Source organism: Homo sapiens, chromosome 1 (assembly GCF_000001405.40).
Source record: "Homo sapiens chromosome 1, GRCh38.p14 Primary Assembly".
Taxonomy (NCBI): Eukaryota; Metazoa; Chordata; class Mammalia; order Primates; family Hominidae; genus Homo; species Homo sapiens.
Window position 1 is genome coordinate 54825244 of NC_000001.11, and position 13985 is coordinate 54839228.

At 45.5% G+C, this 13985-nt stretch overlaps 1 protein-coding gene and 1 long non-coding RNA gene across 5 annotated transcripts in view; one reads left to right on the forward strand and one right to left on the reverse strand.

Annotated features, from left to right (window-relative positions):
• The window catches only part of CIMAP2 (ciliary microtubule associated protein 2), a 36190-nt gene that overhangs the window by 19181 nt on the left and 3024 nt on the right, over nucleotides 1-13985 (forward strand). The window contains exon 10 of one of the 4 annotated variants that reach the window (XM_017000481.2): nucleotides 12003-12292. The exons of the other annotated variants lie outside the window; for them this stretch is intronic. Coding sequence (XP_016855970.1) covers nucleotides 12003-12006 — 4 coding nt within the window. The 3' untranslated portion in view covers nucleotides 12007-12292. Of the gene's footprint in view, nucleotides 1-12002; nucleotides 12293-13985 lie in introns of those variants that run through there. 4 annotated transcript variants of the gene reach the window in all.
• On the reverse strand, nucleotides 9172-12019 carry LOC124904183 (uncharacterized). The gene is made up of 2 exons (XR_007066100.1): nucleotides 11466-12019; nucleotides 9172-10632 (listed from the first exon to the last, which is right to left on the reverse strand). It is a non-coding gene; the product is annotated as an uncharacterized LOC124904183 (long non-coding RNA).

Here is a 13985-nt window from a genome sequence, read left to right on the forward strand (position 1 = left end):
GGTTTCACCATGTTAGCCAGGGTGGTCTTGATCTCCTGACCTCGTGATCCTCCCGCCTCGGCCTCCCAAAGTGCTGGGATTACAGGTGTGAGCCACCACGCCCGGTGGGAATTACCTTTACCTGTAGATGCATATATAGTGTTGGTTGGGTATGGTACTTTGGCTTTGATTCTGGGTGGATGCAGTAATGTAGTTTCTGTATGATTTCTTCAGCTATGATCAGCATCAGTGGTGTCTTTGGGTTTCTTAGTGGCTTAGGCTGTGGTTGTTAGGAGAGGCTATAGCAAGGCTTTGCTGGGGGTGGGGGTGCCAGGTGGGCTAGTCCTCAGGGACCAGTGGTGGCACAGTGGGCTGGGTATGTCAGTCCTTGGGCCCCTAGTTAACATATGTGAGTGCTGGCAGAGGCAGGTCTGGGCGGGCTGGTCCTCAGGCCTCCAGGTGATATGTTTGGGTGCTAGTGTTGGCAGTGGCGGGCTGAGCCAGTAGGTCCTTGGGCCCCTGGGTGATATGCATGGCATCGGTGGTGACAGTAGTGGCAATGGGCCAAACTTCTACTCTAGCCCCTGAGTAGTGCATGTGGGTGCCAGCAGTGGCAGTGGTGAGCAAGAGGGGCCAGTCCCAGGCTCCTGGGTGGTGTGTGAGTGGGTGCCAGCAGTGGTGATGGCAGGCTGAGTAGGCAGGTCCCTGGGCCCCTGGGAGATGCATGCATGGGCAGTGGGTAGGTGCACTAGTCTACGCCAAGGTCCCTGGACAACATGCACAAGCCCTGGTGGCAGTGGCTACAGGTAGCATGGGCCTGTCTAAGGGCTCCCTGACGGTGTACATGGGCACTGGCAGTGGCAAGTGGGGCGGGTGGATTCTTAGGCCCCAAGATGGCCTAAGAGTTTGGGCACCAGAGTTCAGGTAGGGTGGGCCTGTCCTCAGGCCCTGGAACAGTGTGCAGGTGTGCAGCAGCTCTGCCACTGGAAGAGGTAGTGTTGCTGTTAGTGGCAGTGGCTCCAGGCAGCTAGCTCTCAGGCTCTGGGGAGCACAAACTTCAGCTTTCTTTGCCCTAGGTCAGCTTATTTAGTACACTGCCCTGCCCATTCCCCAGGGTGTAGGACACTGCATGGGCTAGAATGCTAGGGACCTGGCCGCACTGCTGGGTCCAGCTGGCATTGGAACACTGCAGCTGTCTGAGTGGACATGAGGGGATGTCAGCAGGGCCCCAGGGATTTGGAGATACAGGATCTGTAGGGCTCCAGGGCAAGATGTAGACTGGTGGGGACTGGGCTCTCAAAATGGTGCTGTGCTGCAGCTGCTTGGGTATCAGGGGATCGGTGGGACCCAGTGCAAACTCCCTCTTGGGAACAATGCTGTCACATGTACCCCCAGAAGTCCCCTGTATTAGTCTCAGGGCCTGCAAGGCCTGAGGGCTCTCCTGTGGGTAGGATTGCAGGAGCCTGTGCGGGGAATGTGGAACACAGGGGATCTCTTGCTCACCCTTTCTCCACACTGGGGACTTTTTCCTGGCTCTGAGCTGATCCTGGCCAGGCCAGCTGCTTCGCTTCCTTCTCCTTCCATGCCTCAGAAGTTCTATGCTGAATTCCAGTGTTCTCTCATTTGCTACATTCAACGTGTGGTTATCTACTCGCTGTTTTGGTCCTTCTGTGTGGAGGAGGCAAGTGCTTCGCACCTCTAGTCAGCCATCTTGAAGCCCCCCTCCTATTTGTCTGTTTTTAAAAAATTCCTTTATACTTTTAGTGGGTTGCAGGAGGAAGCAGAGATAAATGCATGTATTCATCTGCCTTGTTGAATGGTAAATCATATGAAATGAAACACTTTTTGGGTGCAAAAGCATTTTCTTCCCCTTTCTAGTCAAGGTAGTTAGCCTTATTTTAGGGATGTTAAAACCAGGACCAGAGAGAGGAAAAGAGGGGGACAACTTGCCTAAAGCCACACAGCTGGTGAGTGACAGAGCTGGCACTAGAATCTAGTCCTTCCCCTTCTTGGGCAATATCCTTTACACATATCAACACCCATGTGAGGTGAGGATTTGGGGGTGCTAGGGCAAGTACCATGCCCAGACTCCTGCAGGGCCACTCCTCTCAGCTGCTCTTTTGCAAAGTCCAGTCTATATGCTGTTTGCTTAGCAAAAGACTTTAAGGAAGGGAAGGGTGCCCCATCCCCGCAGGACTCTCCCCCTGGACACCTGTGTTCTCCTCCTGGACATCTGTCTTTCTCTTGTGTTCAGCATTCTCCTTCACCACTGTTAACACATCCAACACTCAGGCTGGTGAGAATTATAGGATTTCTAACCCCGGCTTAGAATTCCATGTCTGCCACTTAGCTGCGTGACCTGGGGCAAGTTGCTCAGAGAAGACTTCCCTCATCTGAAAAATGAGGGTAAACTAATAATCACCTTCAGAGTCCATTATGAGGACTGAATGAATGACACAGGTGAATGTACACTGCCCCTATCGATGCTGTTTTGGAGGCATGTTGCACACACTAGCTTCCTTTTCCCTTAGCAGCTGCTCCTGCCTTGGCAGAATTCTGTTTTACTTATTTATATAAGGAAAAATTTCTTTACAGAGGCTTAAAATGCATGACATCCAGGAAGAGAAACTACAATTACTTAAAACACCCTCTGTTGCCAAAGACCCAAGCAAAAGCCTCTAGTAAGATAGAGATTTTTATATAGAGACTGGGGGAGAAATAGCAGGTCCTTTGAGGCTTGAGGAGGATGAGGGCTTTGAAAGAGAAGGCCAAAAACATTGAGTAACTAGAGGTTTCTCAATGAAGTCAAGAACAAGATAGGGATGCTTGTGTCACTGGCATTATTTAACATTGTTTTGGAGGTTGTAGCAAAAGCAATAAGACAGGAAAAATAAATAAGAAATATAAAATATTGGTAAGGAAGAGCAACATTATTACAATTGATAATGATATGTGTGTTTACTAAAAAATTCCAAGAGAGTTAATTTTAAAACCGTAGAGCTAGGAAGGCAAAAACAGGCAACAAAGTGTATAAATGAATATTTTCGTCTTATACTGCAGCCATAACAAATGGAAAATTAATTGAGGCAAAAAAAGGATTCCATTTTTTTTTTTAGACAGGGTCTTGCTCTGCCATCCAGGGCGGGGGTGCCACCCAGGGCTGCAGTGGCATGATCATGGCTCATTGTAGCGTCCACCTCCCAGGCTCAATAGACCATCCTGTCTCAGCTTCCTGAGTAGCTGGGACTACAGGCATGTGCCACCACACCTGGCCAATTTTTCTTTTTTGGAGAGAGACGGGGTGCCACTGTGTTGCCCAGGCTGGTCTCAAACTCCTGGGCTCAAGTGATCCTCCTGCCTTGGCCTCCCAGAGTGTTGGGATTACAGGTGAGCCACTGCACCCAGCCAAGATCCCATTCTTTTCTTTCTTTTTTTTTTATTTATTTTATTTTCGAGGGCTCTTTTTACTAAGACCCCATTCTTATTAGCAACACAAATGATAAAATACATTTGGGATAAACTTAATATGGTGTATTTAAGGCATAAATGAAGAAAAATAGAAATCTTTATTAATGGATGTTAAAGAATGCCTGAATAACTGGATGAAAAGACACGATATTGGAAAAATATTAAATCTTCCCAGTGATGTACACATCTTAAGTCAAATCCTAGAGAGGTTGATGGGGCCAGAGGGGGCAACTGGATAAATTGATTATAAGCTTCATCTGAAAGAGTAAGACACATATAAATACATTTTAAGATAGAAGAATAATGATCCCACTTTAAAATGCATTGACATATGCGTAGAAAACATAATATGGAGGACTAAGCACCACACTGTTGGCCATGATTACATGCGGAGGGCAGGGTTAACAGATTCTTTCATATTCTACCTTGTTGAAATGTTTGAGTTTTTCAAAATAAGCATATATTGTTTTATAATCAGAAAAATAGTACAAATAGAGGACAAGAGCTCTTGAGATAAACTACACAGAATACGAGTTCCCCTTTTAGACCCATCTCCAACCAAGAGTTACCCTTTGTCTTCCAGACCTTAGTTTTCCCATCTGTAAAAACAGAAGAATTTATACCCTGGGGGACCTGGTGAGGCCTAACTAAGTCTTATGAATGCTGCCAAACTGAAGCCAACCAGCAGGTCCCTGTGGGTGTCAGACTGTTAGGCTGGGGCATGATTCTCTCAGAGGCTCAACTTCAGCATTGTCCATGAAGCCTTTGCCCTACTTGGGCTCCTGGCTCAGAATTATGATGCCAGGAGGCACAGAAGATCGATCACAGGTGTGAAGGATTTCTTTATGCACTCTTTCACTGACTGATTCATTTGAAAAACCTGCCCTGTGCTTGGTTCTGTCCTGAGTGCCTCTGAGCTGCTGATTGTTTTCAGGTGACCAGAAAAAGTCTGCCATTCCCTCACTGAAAATTTCATTTTTGCATTCATATTTTTTAAGTTTTTTAAGTTTTAAGAGTTATTTTTTGTCTTCTGAATGTTCCTTTGATAACAATATGCTCTGGTTTCATGAAGGCAGTGCTTTCTCATCTTTCGAAGATATTAAGACAAATATCTTCAAAAGATTAAAGATTAATATATTCTTTTTGAAGATATTAAGACTATTTGCTTGACATTGTCCCCATTTTTTTTTCAAATCTCATTTTTCTGTATGTTCATTTTGGCCTCAGTCTTCTGTATCAGAGGTTTTTCCTCGAATGTCTGGTGATGCTTGGCTCTGCATACCTGTCCAGCTCTAAATCCTTCTGAAGGCTCTGGGGCACTTGTTGATTATGGACTCCACCACACGATGATCAAGCTGGGTGTTTTCACTGGGTGAACTCCCAATGTTACTACTGTTAGAACTTTCCTCTCTGGGGGTTGTAAGCTTGGCTGTCCAAGCTCTAGGATCTAAGTGGAAGGGAAAAGGCTACAGTTCTCAATATTTAGTGATTAAACTTCCATTTAATTCCCTCTTTTCTTTCTTTCTATTTATTTATTTATTTATTTATTGAGACAGAGTTTTGCTTTTGTTGCCCAGGATGGAGTGCAATGGCGCGATCTCAGCTCACCACAACCTTCGCCTCCTGGGCTCAAGTGATTCTCCTGCCTCAGCCTCCTGAGTAGCTGGGGTTACAGGCATGTGCCACCACACTCGGCTAATTTTGTATTTTTAGTAGAGACAAGGTTTCTCCATGTTGGTCAGGCTGGTCTCGAACTCCTGATCTCAGGTGATCTGCCCACCTTGAACTCTCAAAGTGCTGGGATTACAGGCATGAGCCACTGCACCTGGCCCCATTCCCTATTTTAAATATGGTACTCATGATTTCAGCTATGCCTGGTGCCATCCTGAATAGAGAATCTATCTCCAGAGAATAAATCTCCAATCTTCTGCCAGGCTAAATGAAGGGCACTCATCTGGCTGCAGACAGTGGGGGAGAGAAACTGATATTATACAGATTATCAAACTGATATTATATAGACCAATCCCTGTTTTTGGTTTCATCTTCATTCCCACTTCCAGCGGTACCTAGTGCTGCCAATTCCTTAGTCTTTTGGAGTCGGGGGATTCTTAGCTTTACCATTTACTGATTTGGAGTTTAGCTTTCTTAGGTCTACCAGGTTAGTCACCATTCTTCCATCTGCTTTTCAACTTCCAAAATATTTTTTCTTCCTGCTGCTTCTCCTGTTCTTTTTGCCCTTGTGGGTACATGCCTTAACATTTTTATTCCTTTACTTTGTTTTAGTGAGGTTTCAGGAGGGAGAGAGGTTAATATACCCATTCAATCCATGAAAAGTGTGGTGAAATTTCTGGGTTTCAAAGGTAAAATAAAAATCTTGCTAGTATTATATCTAAAATGACACTGAACCTGCAATCTAAATCAAAGACAATCAGGCATATTTCATACTTCTCTTCTGAAACATAAATGATAGAAAACACTGTTTATATAATTCTCAAGGAAAAGAATTGGGACTTTGTAGAGTCCTCTATGTAGTCAACCAGTCATTCATCTGCAAAGCAAATGAGAGATGCACAAATATTGGGATATATATGAAATGCATATTTTTCTGAAAATATTACTGAAGGATATACTCCAGTCAAATGAAAAATGAATTAACATGGAGAGCTTAAGAAAGGGGAAGACATGGACACAATGGCTCATTCCTGCAATTGCAGCACTTTGGGAGGCTGAGGCAGGTGGATCACCTGAGGTCAGGAGTTTGAGACCAGCCTGGCCAAAATGGTGAAACCCCGTCTCTACTAAAAATGCAAAAATTAGCCAGGTGTGGTGGCACACACCTGTAATCCCAGCTACTCAGGATGCTGAGGCAGGAGAATCACTTGAATCCGGGAGGCGGAGGGTGCAGTGAGCCAAGATTGCGCCATTGCACTCCAGCCTGGGTGACAACAGCGAAACTCCATCTCAAAAAAAAAGAAAGGGGAAGACATGCATGTAAAAATACATCTGGCTATGATATATCAGATAAATGTAACCAACAACGAAAAGGAAGAGTAGTAATACAAACACTAAGCAAAATAGAATTCAAGGCAAAAATGGTAAGTGGAACAAAGATGAGTATTTAATCATGGTAAACAATAAAAAAATCCATGAAGAAATTATAATAACCATGAACTTTTTTTTTGACACAGGGTTAGGCTAGAGGCTGGAGTGCAGTGGCACAATCACAGCTCGCTGCAGCCTTGACCTCCCGGCCTCGAGCAATCCTCCCACCTCAGCCTTCCAAGTAGCTGGGACTACAGGCATGTGCCACCACGCCCAACTAATTGTTGTATTTTTTGTAGATGGGGTTTCACCATGTTGCCCAGGCTGGTCTCAAACTCCTGGGCTCAAGTGATCCACCAACATTGGCCTTCCAAAGTGTTGGAATTACAGGCATGAACCACCATGCCCAGCCTAACTATGAACTTTTACACACCCAAAATAACAGTAACAAAATCCCATAATAATAATGAGAATTCTTAATAGACCTATCTGAAAATTTGACAGCTAAGGATATATAAATAATTATTTGGAGGATTTGAATAGATATATTTTATTCCACATTATTTTCAGATACTTATAGAACATTTATAAAAATTGATCTCTAAGAAAATCTCATTTAAAATGTTAGTTAACAAGTTAACACCCTACATAGGAATTTTTAGGTTACTTTTTGTAAACATAATACAACAAAACAAGAAGTTAACACAAAAGGATAACCCCAAAACCAAGTACTTGGAAAGTGGAAAGCACTCTTCTAAATAGCTCTTGGGTCTAAGGGAAAATCAAGTTTAGAGTTACAGACTATTTAGACATTAATTACAATGAAAACTATAGATCAAAACCTGTGTAATATGGTCAAAGCACCCATTAGAGGAAAATTCATGGCTTTAGTTGTTTTAATATCAAACAAAAAAGATTGAAACCAAAAGAAGCAATCATTCAACTCTGTAAGTTTAAACAAAAAAAATCAAAATAAATAAAAATAAAGCTGGAGTAAAGAATCAATAAAAATGGGCTGGATGCAGTGGCTTACACCTATAGTCCCAGAACTTTGGGAGGCCGAGGCAGGAGGATCACTTGAGGTCAGGCGTTAGAGACTAGCCTGGGCAACATAGGGAGACCTGTCTCTACAGAAAATTTAAAAATTAGCTGGGTGTGGTGATGTGCACCTGTAATCCCAGCTACTTGGGAGGCTGAGGTAGGAGGATTGCTTGAGCCTAGGAGGTTGAGGCTGCGGTGAGCCATGGTTGTGCCACCACACTCCAGCCTGTGAAACCTTGTCTCAAAAAAAAAAATTAATAAAAATGAATGGAGACTGAATGGACAGAGGAGCTCCCATTGGATCCTCAGCTCTTTCATGTTAATGCCTTCTTCTCTAGAGTGGTGGTCAGGCAGGAGCCAGTCTGATTGCGGGTGTAAAATGTAGACATCTGCAGATGACAGAGGTGCTAAAGCAATGCGAAGGGTGACTGTCTGCCCTGTCATCCTCATCTCATGTGTGAATAAATGATGGGGTGAAGGGGATTGCTGAGTCCCGCAGCTGAACAGAGACAGTGCGGGGACCAGAAACACATGGCTCCGACTCTGACCCTGTGCTTCAGCCTCACCTCCTTGGCCAGGTTGGGAGGAGGTCCTTGGTGGCAAAACACAACACGTTCTCAACCAGTGCGCTGCCTTTGATCCAGGCGGGGGAGTGCATGTGTGAGAGTTGTAAAGTCTCCTTCTGGAATGTGCGGCTACAGCTAATCTTTCTCACCCCTCATCCCTAAGCTGCCTTCTTCCCTGCTTCTTCATGCAAACTGTAGGGTTCTGGGCTTCCAGCCTGGAAGCCTGGGATTTAACTCATGTGTGGGAAAGGCAGCCTTTTGTTTTCCATTCTGTAGAGCTGTGTATACAGTAGGTGCTTCATAAATGTGGTTGACTGATGAGTGGGCCAGGTTTTTCATCTAGCCAACTTTCTAGATCTTCTGGATCTTCCAGCAAGGTCTTTTTTACTCCGTCTGGTCTACCTCTGGCCATGTGGATATCAGAACTCTGCTCCAGGCCAGGCTCTGACCCACTCCCTTTGTCTTCCCCACATTGTGACATTGGCCACCCTATGATTTGTTCTTTTTTTTTTAATTTTTATTTCTTGAGATGGAGTCACGCACTTGTTGCCCAGGCTGGGATGCAATGGCTCATTGCAACCTCCACCTCCCAGGTTCAAGCAATTCTCCTGCTTCAGCCTCCAAAGGAGCTGGGATCACAGGCGTGCATCACCACAGCCGGCTAATTTTTGTATTTTTGGTAAAGATGGGGTTTCACCATGTTGGCCAGGCTGGTCTCAAACTCCTGACCTCAAGTGATCTGCCTGCCTCAGCCTCCCAAAGTGCTGGGATTACTGGGGTAAGCCACCATGCCTGGCCTATGATTTGTTCTTGAAACATCTTCCCCACAGTTTTTGTTTGGAAAACTCCTATTCACCCATCTATAGCGCTGCTTAAATAGGGAGTCTTCCCTGATTTTTTTCCAGGCAGCTTCAAAAGTTCATACAGAACTTTTCTACTTTCCAGCTCTGGTGTCTTGCTGGCAGGCATAGAAGGAACTCAGTGAATATTTGTTAAATGATGAGTCAGTACATTAATTAATAAAATGGGCCAGGATCTGATAACTCCATGAAAGGAACTCATGAGAAACTTCTTGTCTGATTTGGCAGAAGTTTATTTTTCCTTTTAAGTTTCTTTCCCTGGTATTTTATTACAAAAATTTCAAACATATAGCAAAGTTGAAAGAATTTTACAGTGTATACCTATATACCCACTACTCAGATTATACAGGTTGAGTCTCTCTTGTCTGAAATGCTTAAGATTAGAATTGTCTTGGATTTGGGATTTTTTTTTCAGACTTTGGAATATGTGGATATATATAATGAGGTATCTTAGGGATGGGACCCAAGTCTAAACGTGAAATTCATTTATGTTTCATACATGCCGTATACACACAGCCTAAAGGTAATTTTCTACAATATTTTAAATAATTTTGTGCATTAGCAAAGTTTTGACTGCCACCCATCACATGAAGTGAGGTGTGGCATTTTCCACTTGTGGCATCATGTCGGTGCTCAAAAAGTTTTAGATTTTGGAGCATTTGGATTTTAGATTTTCAGATAAGGGAAGCTCAACCTGTACCACTAATGGTTTACTCTTCCTGCTTTATGACCTATCTTTCTACCTATCTGTCTATCCATCTGTTAATTATCTTTCATTTTTGATAAAGTTCAAAGGAAATGGCAGCCATGAGTATACCTTCTCCTAAATGCTCCAGCACGCATACTGCATTTTTAGTATTTGAAGCTAAAAGGCATATTCTTTGTCCAGAAATCTGAAATGGAAATCATAAATGTCTATCCTCTGTAACGACAGTAATAAATTATTATATTCTTGGAATATCTTTAAAATGGACAAAGTGATGGTTTGTTTGTTTGTTTTTTGTTTTTTTGAGACAGAGTCTTGCTCTGTCACCCAGGGTGGAGTGCAGTGGTGCAATGTTGGCTCACTGCAGCCTTGACCTCCTGGGCTCAAGCAATCCTCTCACCTCAGGCTTCCAAGTAGCTGGGACTACAGGTGTGTGCCACCACGCCTAGCTAATTTTTGTAATGTTTGTACAGGAGGTTTCACCATGTTGCCAGGCTGTTCTCAAACTCCTGGCCTCAAGTGATCTGCCCGCCTCGGCCTCCCAAAGTCCTGGGATTACAGGCATGAGCCACTGTGCCTGGCCAGACAAAGTGATTTTGTATGTACTTATTGTATGCAATAGCTTTAAAGGGTAGGGATTATGCTCAGTGCTTTTCAGTTGAGAGTATTGAAGTTTGAAGAGAAAAAGTGATTTTCCAAAGTCATTGTTAGTAAACGGCATTGATGCATATATTTCTCAAAAATTGATTGTGCACCTACTGTGTGCCAGGCACCTTGCTGGTTCCTAGGACACTGCAGAAGAGAATCAGACAGCAGTCTGGTCCAGAGTGGCTCCAGCTTCATGGGGAGGGCACTCACCCACCTCCCCAGAGTTACAGGGCAGCCTGAGAAGAGGGATGAAGGCAGGTCGGGCCCAGGACTTCTCTCTCTCTGTCCAGAACACTTTGCCCACTCTTTCCCCCGAAGCTTTCTGGAAGATGAGAGCAGAAGGGAAGGCTCTTTGAACCCAGGAAGGCTGAGGCATAGTTGGCCTTCACCATGACCCATCTTCCTGCCCTTACCCCACCTGACCTTATTTGATCACTCTCCTTTTACCCTTTGTGCATGCTGTTTTGGTGAGATTTGGAAGTTTGGGTAGGAAAGAGGGACTCAGGAAGCTCAGCATGTGGAGTCCTCTCCTTCTCCCCTCAAACCCCTCTGCATGTTTACTCTGGGACACAGAAGTCAGGTGGTTGCCGTTGAGACTGTGTGGCACCAGGGGAAACTGGGCTTAACTCCAAGGGAAGGCAGTCGGGAGAGAAGGCCCTACTTTTTCATTTCTCCTTCCTTCCCTCTCTCCCTCCCTCCCCCTTCGCCCTCCCGCCTGCCTACCTGCCCGCCTGCCTGCCTGCCTGCCTGCCTGCCTGCCTGCCTGCCTGCCTGCCTTCCCTGTGTCCCCCTTTCCTTATTCCTCTCTGTATTTCTGGTGGGGGTGGATGGGGTAGAGACTTGAGCATATTTCTGGCTGATGGGCAGGGAAGGAGGGGGAGATTCTCTTGTGAGGTGGTGGAACATGCTCTTTGCTTGGGCTGGAGGGGTGATCACTCTGAGCACAGGGAGAAACGTTGGCCTTGGATGGGGGTAGGGGGTGGGGGAGAAAAAAGTTGATGATTTAATTGAATTTAGTGGACATTTGCTAGGGGTCAGAACACAGAAGGTCTCAGGCAAACGGGGCAGACAGGAAGGATTGATTTAGCATCAGGTACATGAAGGAGGGCTCAGCCAGGTGCCATAAGCGTGTGGGGCAGAAATGCCCATGTCTACCTGGAAAGGTGGCCTGGAGAGATGGAGGATATTCTGGGCTGGAATATCCTTAGCCTGGCCGTGAGGGGTAAACGAGCCTGGCCTGATCAGGGATGGCCGAGCAGCGGGAGGGTGGGGTGTGGCAGGGGATATGGAAGAACGAAGCCAGGTGAATCAGGTGGGGTGGGATCAGCCGAGTCTTGATGGAGGAGTCTGGTCTCTGCTGATGAATACCTGCAAATCAAGCAGCCAGTAAGCATTCTTCAAAGTGCAGTTGACATGGGAGGAAATCTTTGGAAAATGCCACTTGGAAGATGTAATGTTAGGATGGGACTCACCTTTGCCTTCTCATATCTGAATTACCAGTTGCTCAGGTAGGAAACCTTCAGGGGGTTATGAAATATTACAGTAGACCCTTAAAAAATGAGTCCTAGATTGAGGTAGGGGACTGTGGTTCTGTTGTTTATAAGCCATGTGCTATTGACAAGTCATGTGACCTTCCTGTTGCATATTTTGTTCCCCAAATGACGTCAGCATTTATAGCCCATGTCCCCATAGGTAGCCTGGACTCCACTCTGTGTTGTCTGCTTGATGGCCTTCAGATCAGCATGGACTTTTCACCCTGACATGGCCCGTTTGAGGCTCCAACAAGTTGGTGAACATCGGGAGAAGATGCAGGTTAAAGTCTCCACTTTGGCATCTCTTAGCTGTGTGGCCCTGAGCTACTAAGCACAACTCTCTTTTCTTAGCTGTAGAATGGGCACAATGAAGCCTGTCTCACAGGCCAGGGTCTAGTGTAAGACTTGCCATCCAACTCCTTCCCCATAGCCCAGCACTGCACAGCAGGGTACTGCTGGCATGTGGGAGGGGTGAGGCGCCTCTTCTTCATGGTGCCAGACTCTCCTGCCCAGTGGTGGGACAGTTGGCATTCCAGGTGCCTGCCCACTGGTTGGGGAGTAGTGGCCCCCAGTCTTTGGGACGACCCCAAAACCCTCCTGCATGTGTTCATTGCCCCCAAGGGGGAAAATGCCACCCCCAATTTAGCTGATTCAATTCAGGATACATTTACTGAGTGCCAACAACGTGCAAGGAAGTCTGCTGGAATCACCCTTGAAGGGGGCTGTGTGTAATGGTTGGAAGGAGCAGAGGCCTGGGAGCCAGGAGAACAGATTTTCTGTCCCTAATCTATACAGATCATTTCATCTTTTTCTGGCATTGAGTTATATCTGTACTGGATACCTATGTTTAAGGCTATGGCTGTTTTTCCAAATTGCTTATAGTTGAGGATAGAGTGTATTGGAGTGGGAGAGAGGAAATACTATGGGAGTTCAGAGGAGGCAAATATTATATTGAATTTGGAGCCTTCCAAGCAGGGAGGGCTGCTTGGAAGAAGTGGCATTTGATCTGGTTCTCAAAAGCTGTATAAGAGTTGGGCTTGGAAAGGGGTAACAACTGTTAATCAAAGGTTGACTGTGTGCCAGGCACTGTACTCAGCTCTGTATAAACATCTTTCATCTGGGCATAGTAGTTCATGCCTGTAATCCCAGCACTTTGGGAGGCTGAGGCAGGCAGATCACCTGAGGTGAGGAATTCGAGACCATCCTGGCCAACATGGTGAAAGCACGTCTTTACTAAAAATACAAAAATTAGCCGGGTGCGGTGGTGGGTGCCTGTAGTCCCAACTACTTGGGAGGCTGAGGCAGGAGAATCACTTGAATCCAGCGGTGGAGGTTGCAGTGAGCTGAGATCCCGCCACTGCACTCCAGCCTAGGCAATAGAATGAGACTCCATCTCAATTAAAAAAAAAAATCATCTCTCATGGGCATCACAAAGCTCTGTGAGGTATGTAATAATTGCTTTTATTATATAGGTGAGGAAACTGAGTAACTTTCCCAGGGCCACAGCGAGTTACTCACTGTAGCAGTTAGCTATTGCTACATAACAAACCACCCAGAAACTCAGTGGCTTAAAACAATAGCCATTTGTTATTGTTCATGAGTCTATGGGTTGGCTGGGGGCTGGCTGGTCTGGGATGGTCTTGGATGGAACAGCTAGACTCTTCCACACAGACTCCGGCCTTCAGTGGTGTAGCCCAGGCTTGCTCCTATGGAGGAGGCTGGGGTTTGAGAGAGGAAGTGTGCAAGGCCTTTTGCAGCCCAGCCTCAGAATGCCACACCATTATTTCTACCACATTCTGTTGGCCAAAGCAAGTTCCATGGCCAGCCCAGATTCGAGTGGGGCAGGGATTGGGGGGAGTAGACTCTACCTCTTGATGGGAGAGGCTGCAAAGTCACATTGGAAAGGCCACCAATACAAGGAGCTATGGAGGCCTGGGCCATTTTTGCTCTTTGTCTAGTACAATCGCAAAATAGGATTGGATCTCTGGTCCATCTGGCTCCAAGCTGTGTTCTTTCCTCAAGGGTTTTCTTCTTCCAGGGAGGAGAAAAAAAATTAGGACAGAGGGAAGAGCATGAGCGAAGGAAAGGAAGCAAAAACTTCAGGACATATCTGGGCAATACTAAATGGCCCATTTTGAGTGAT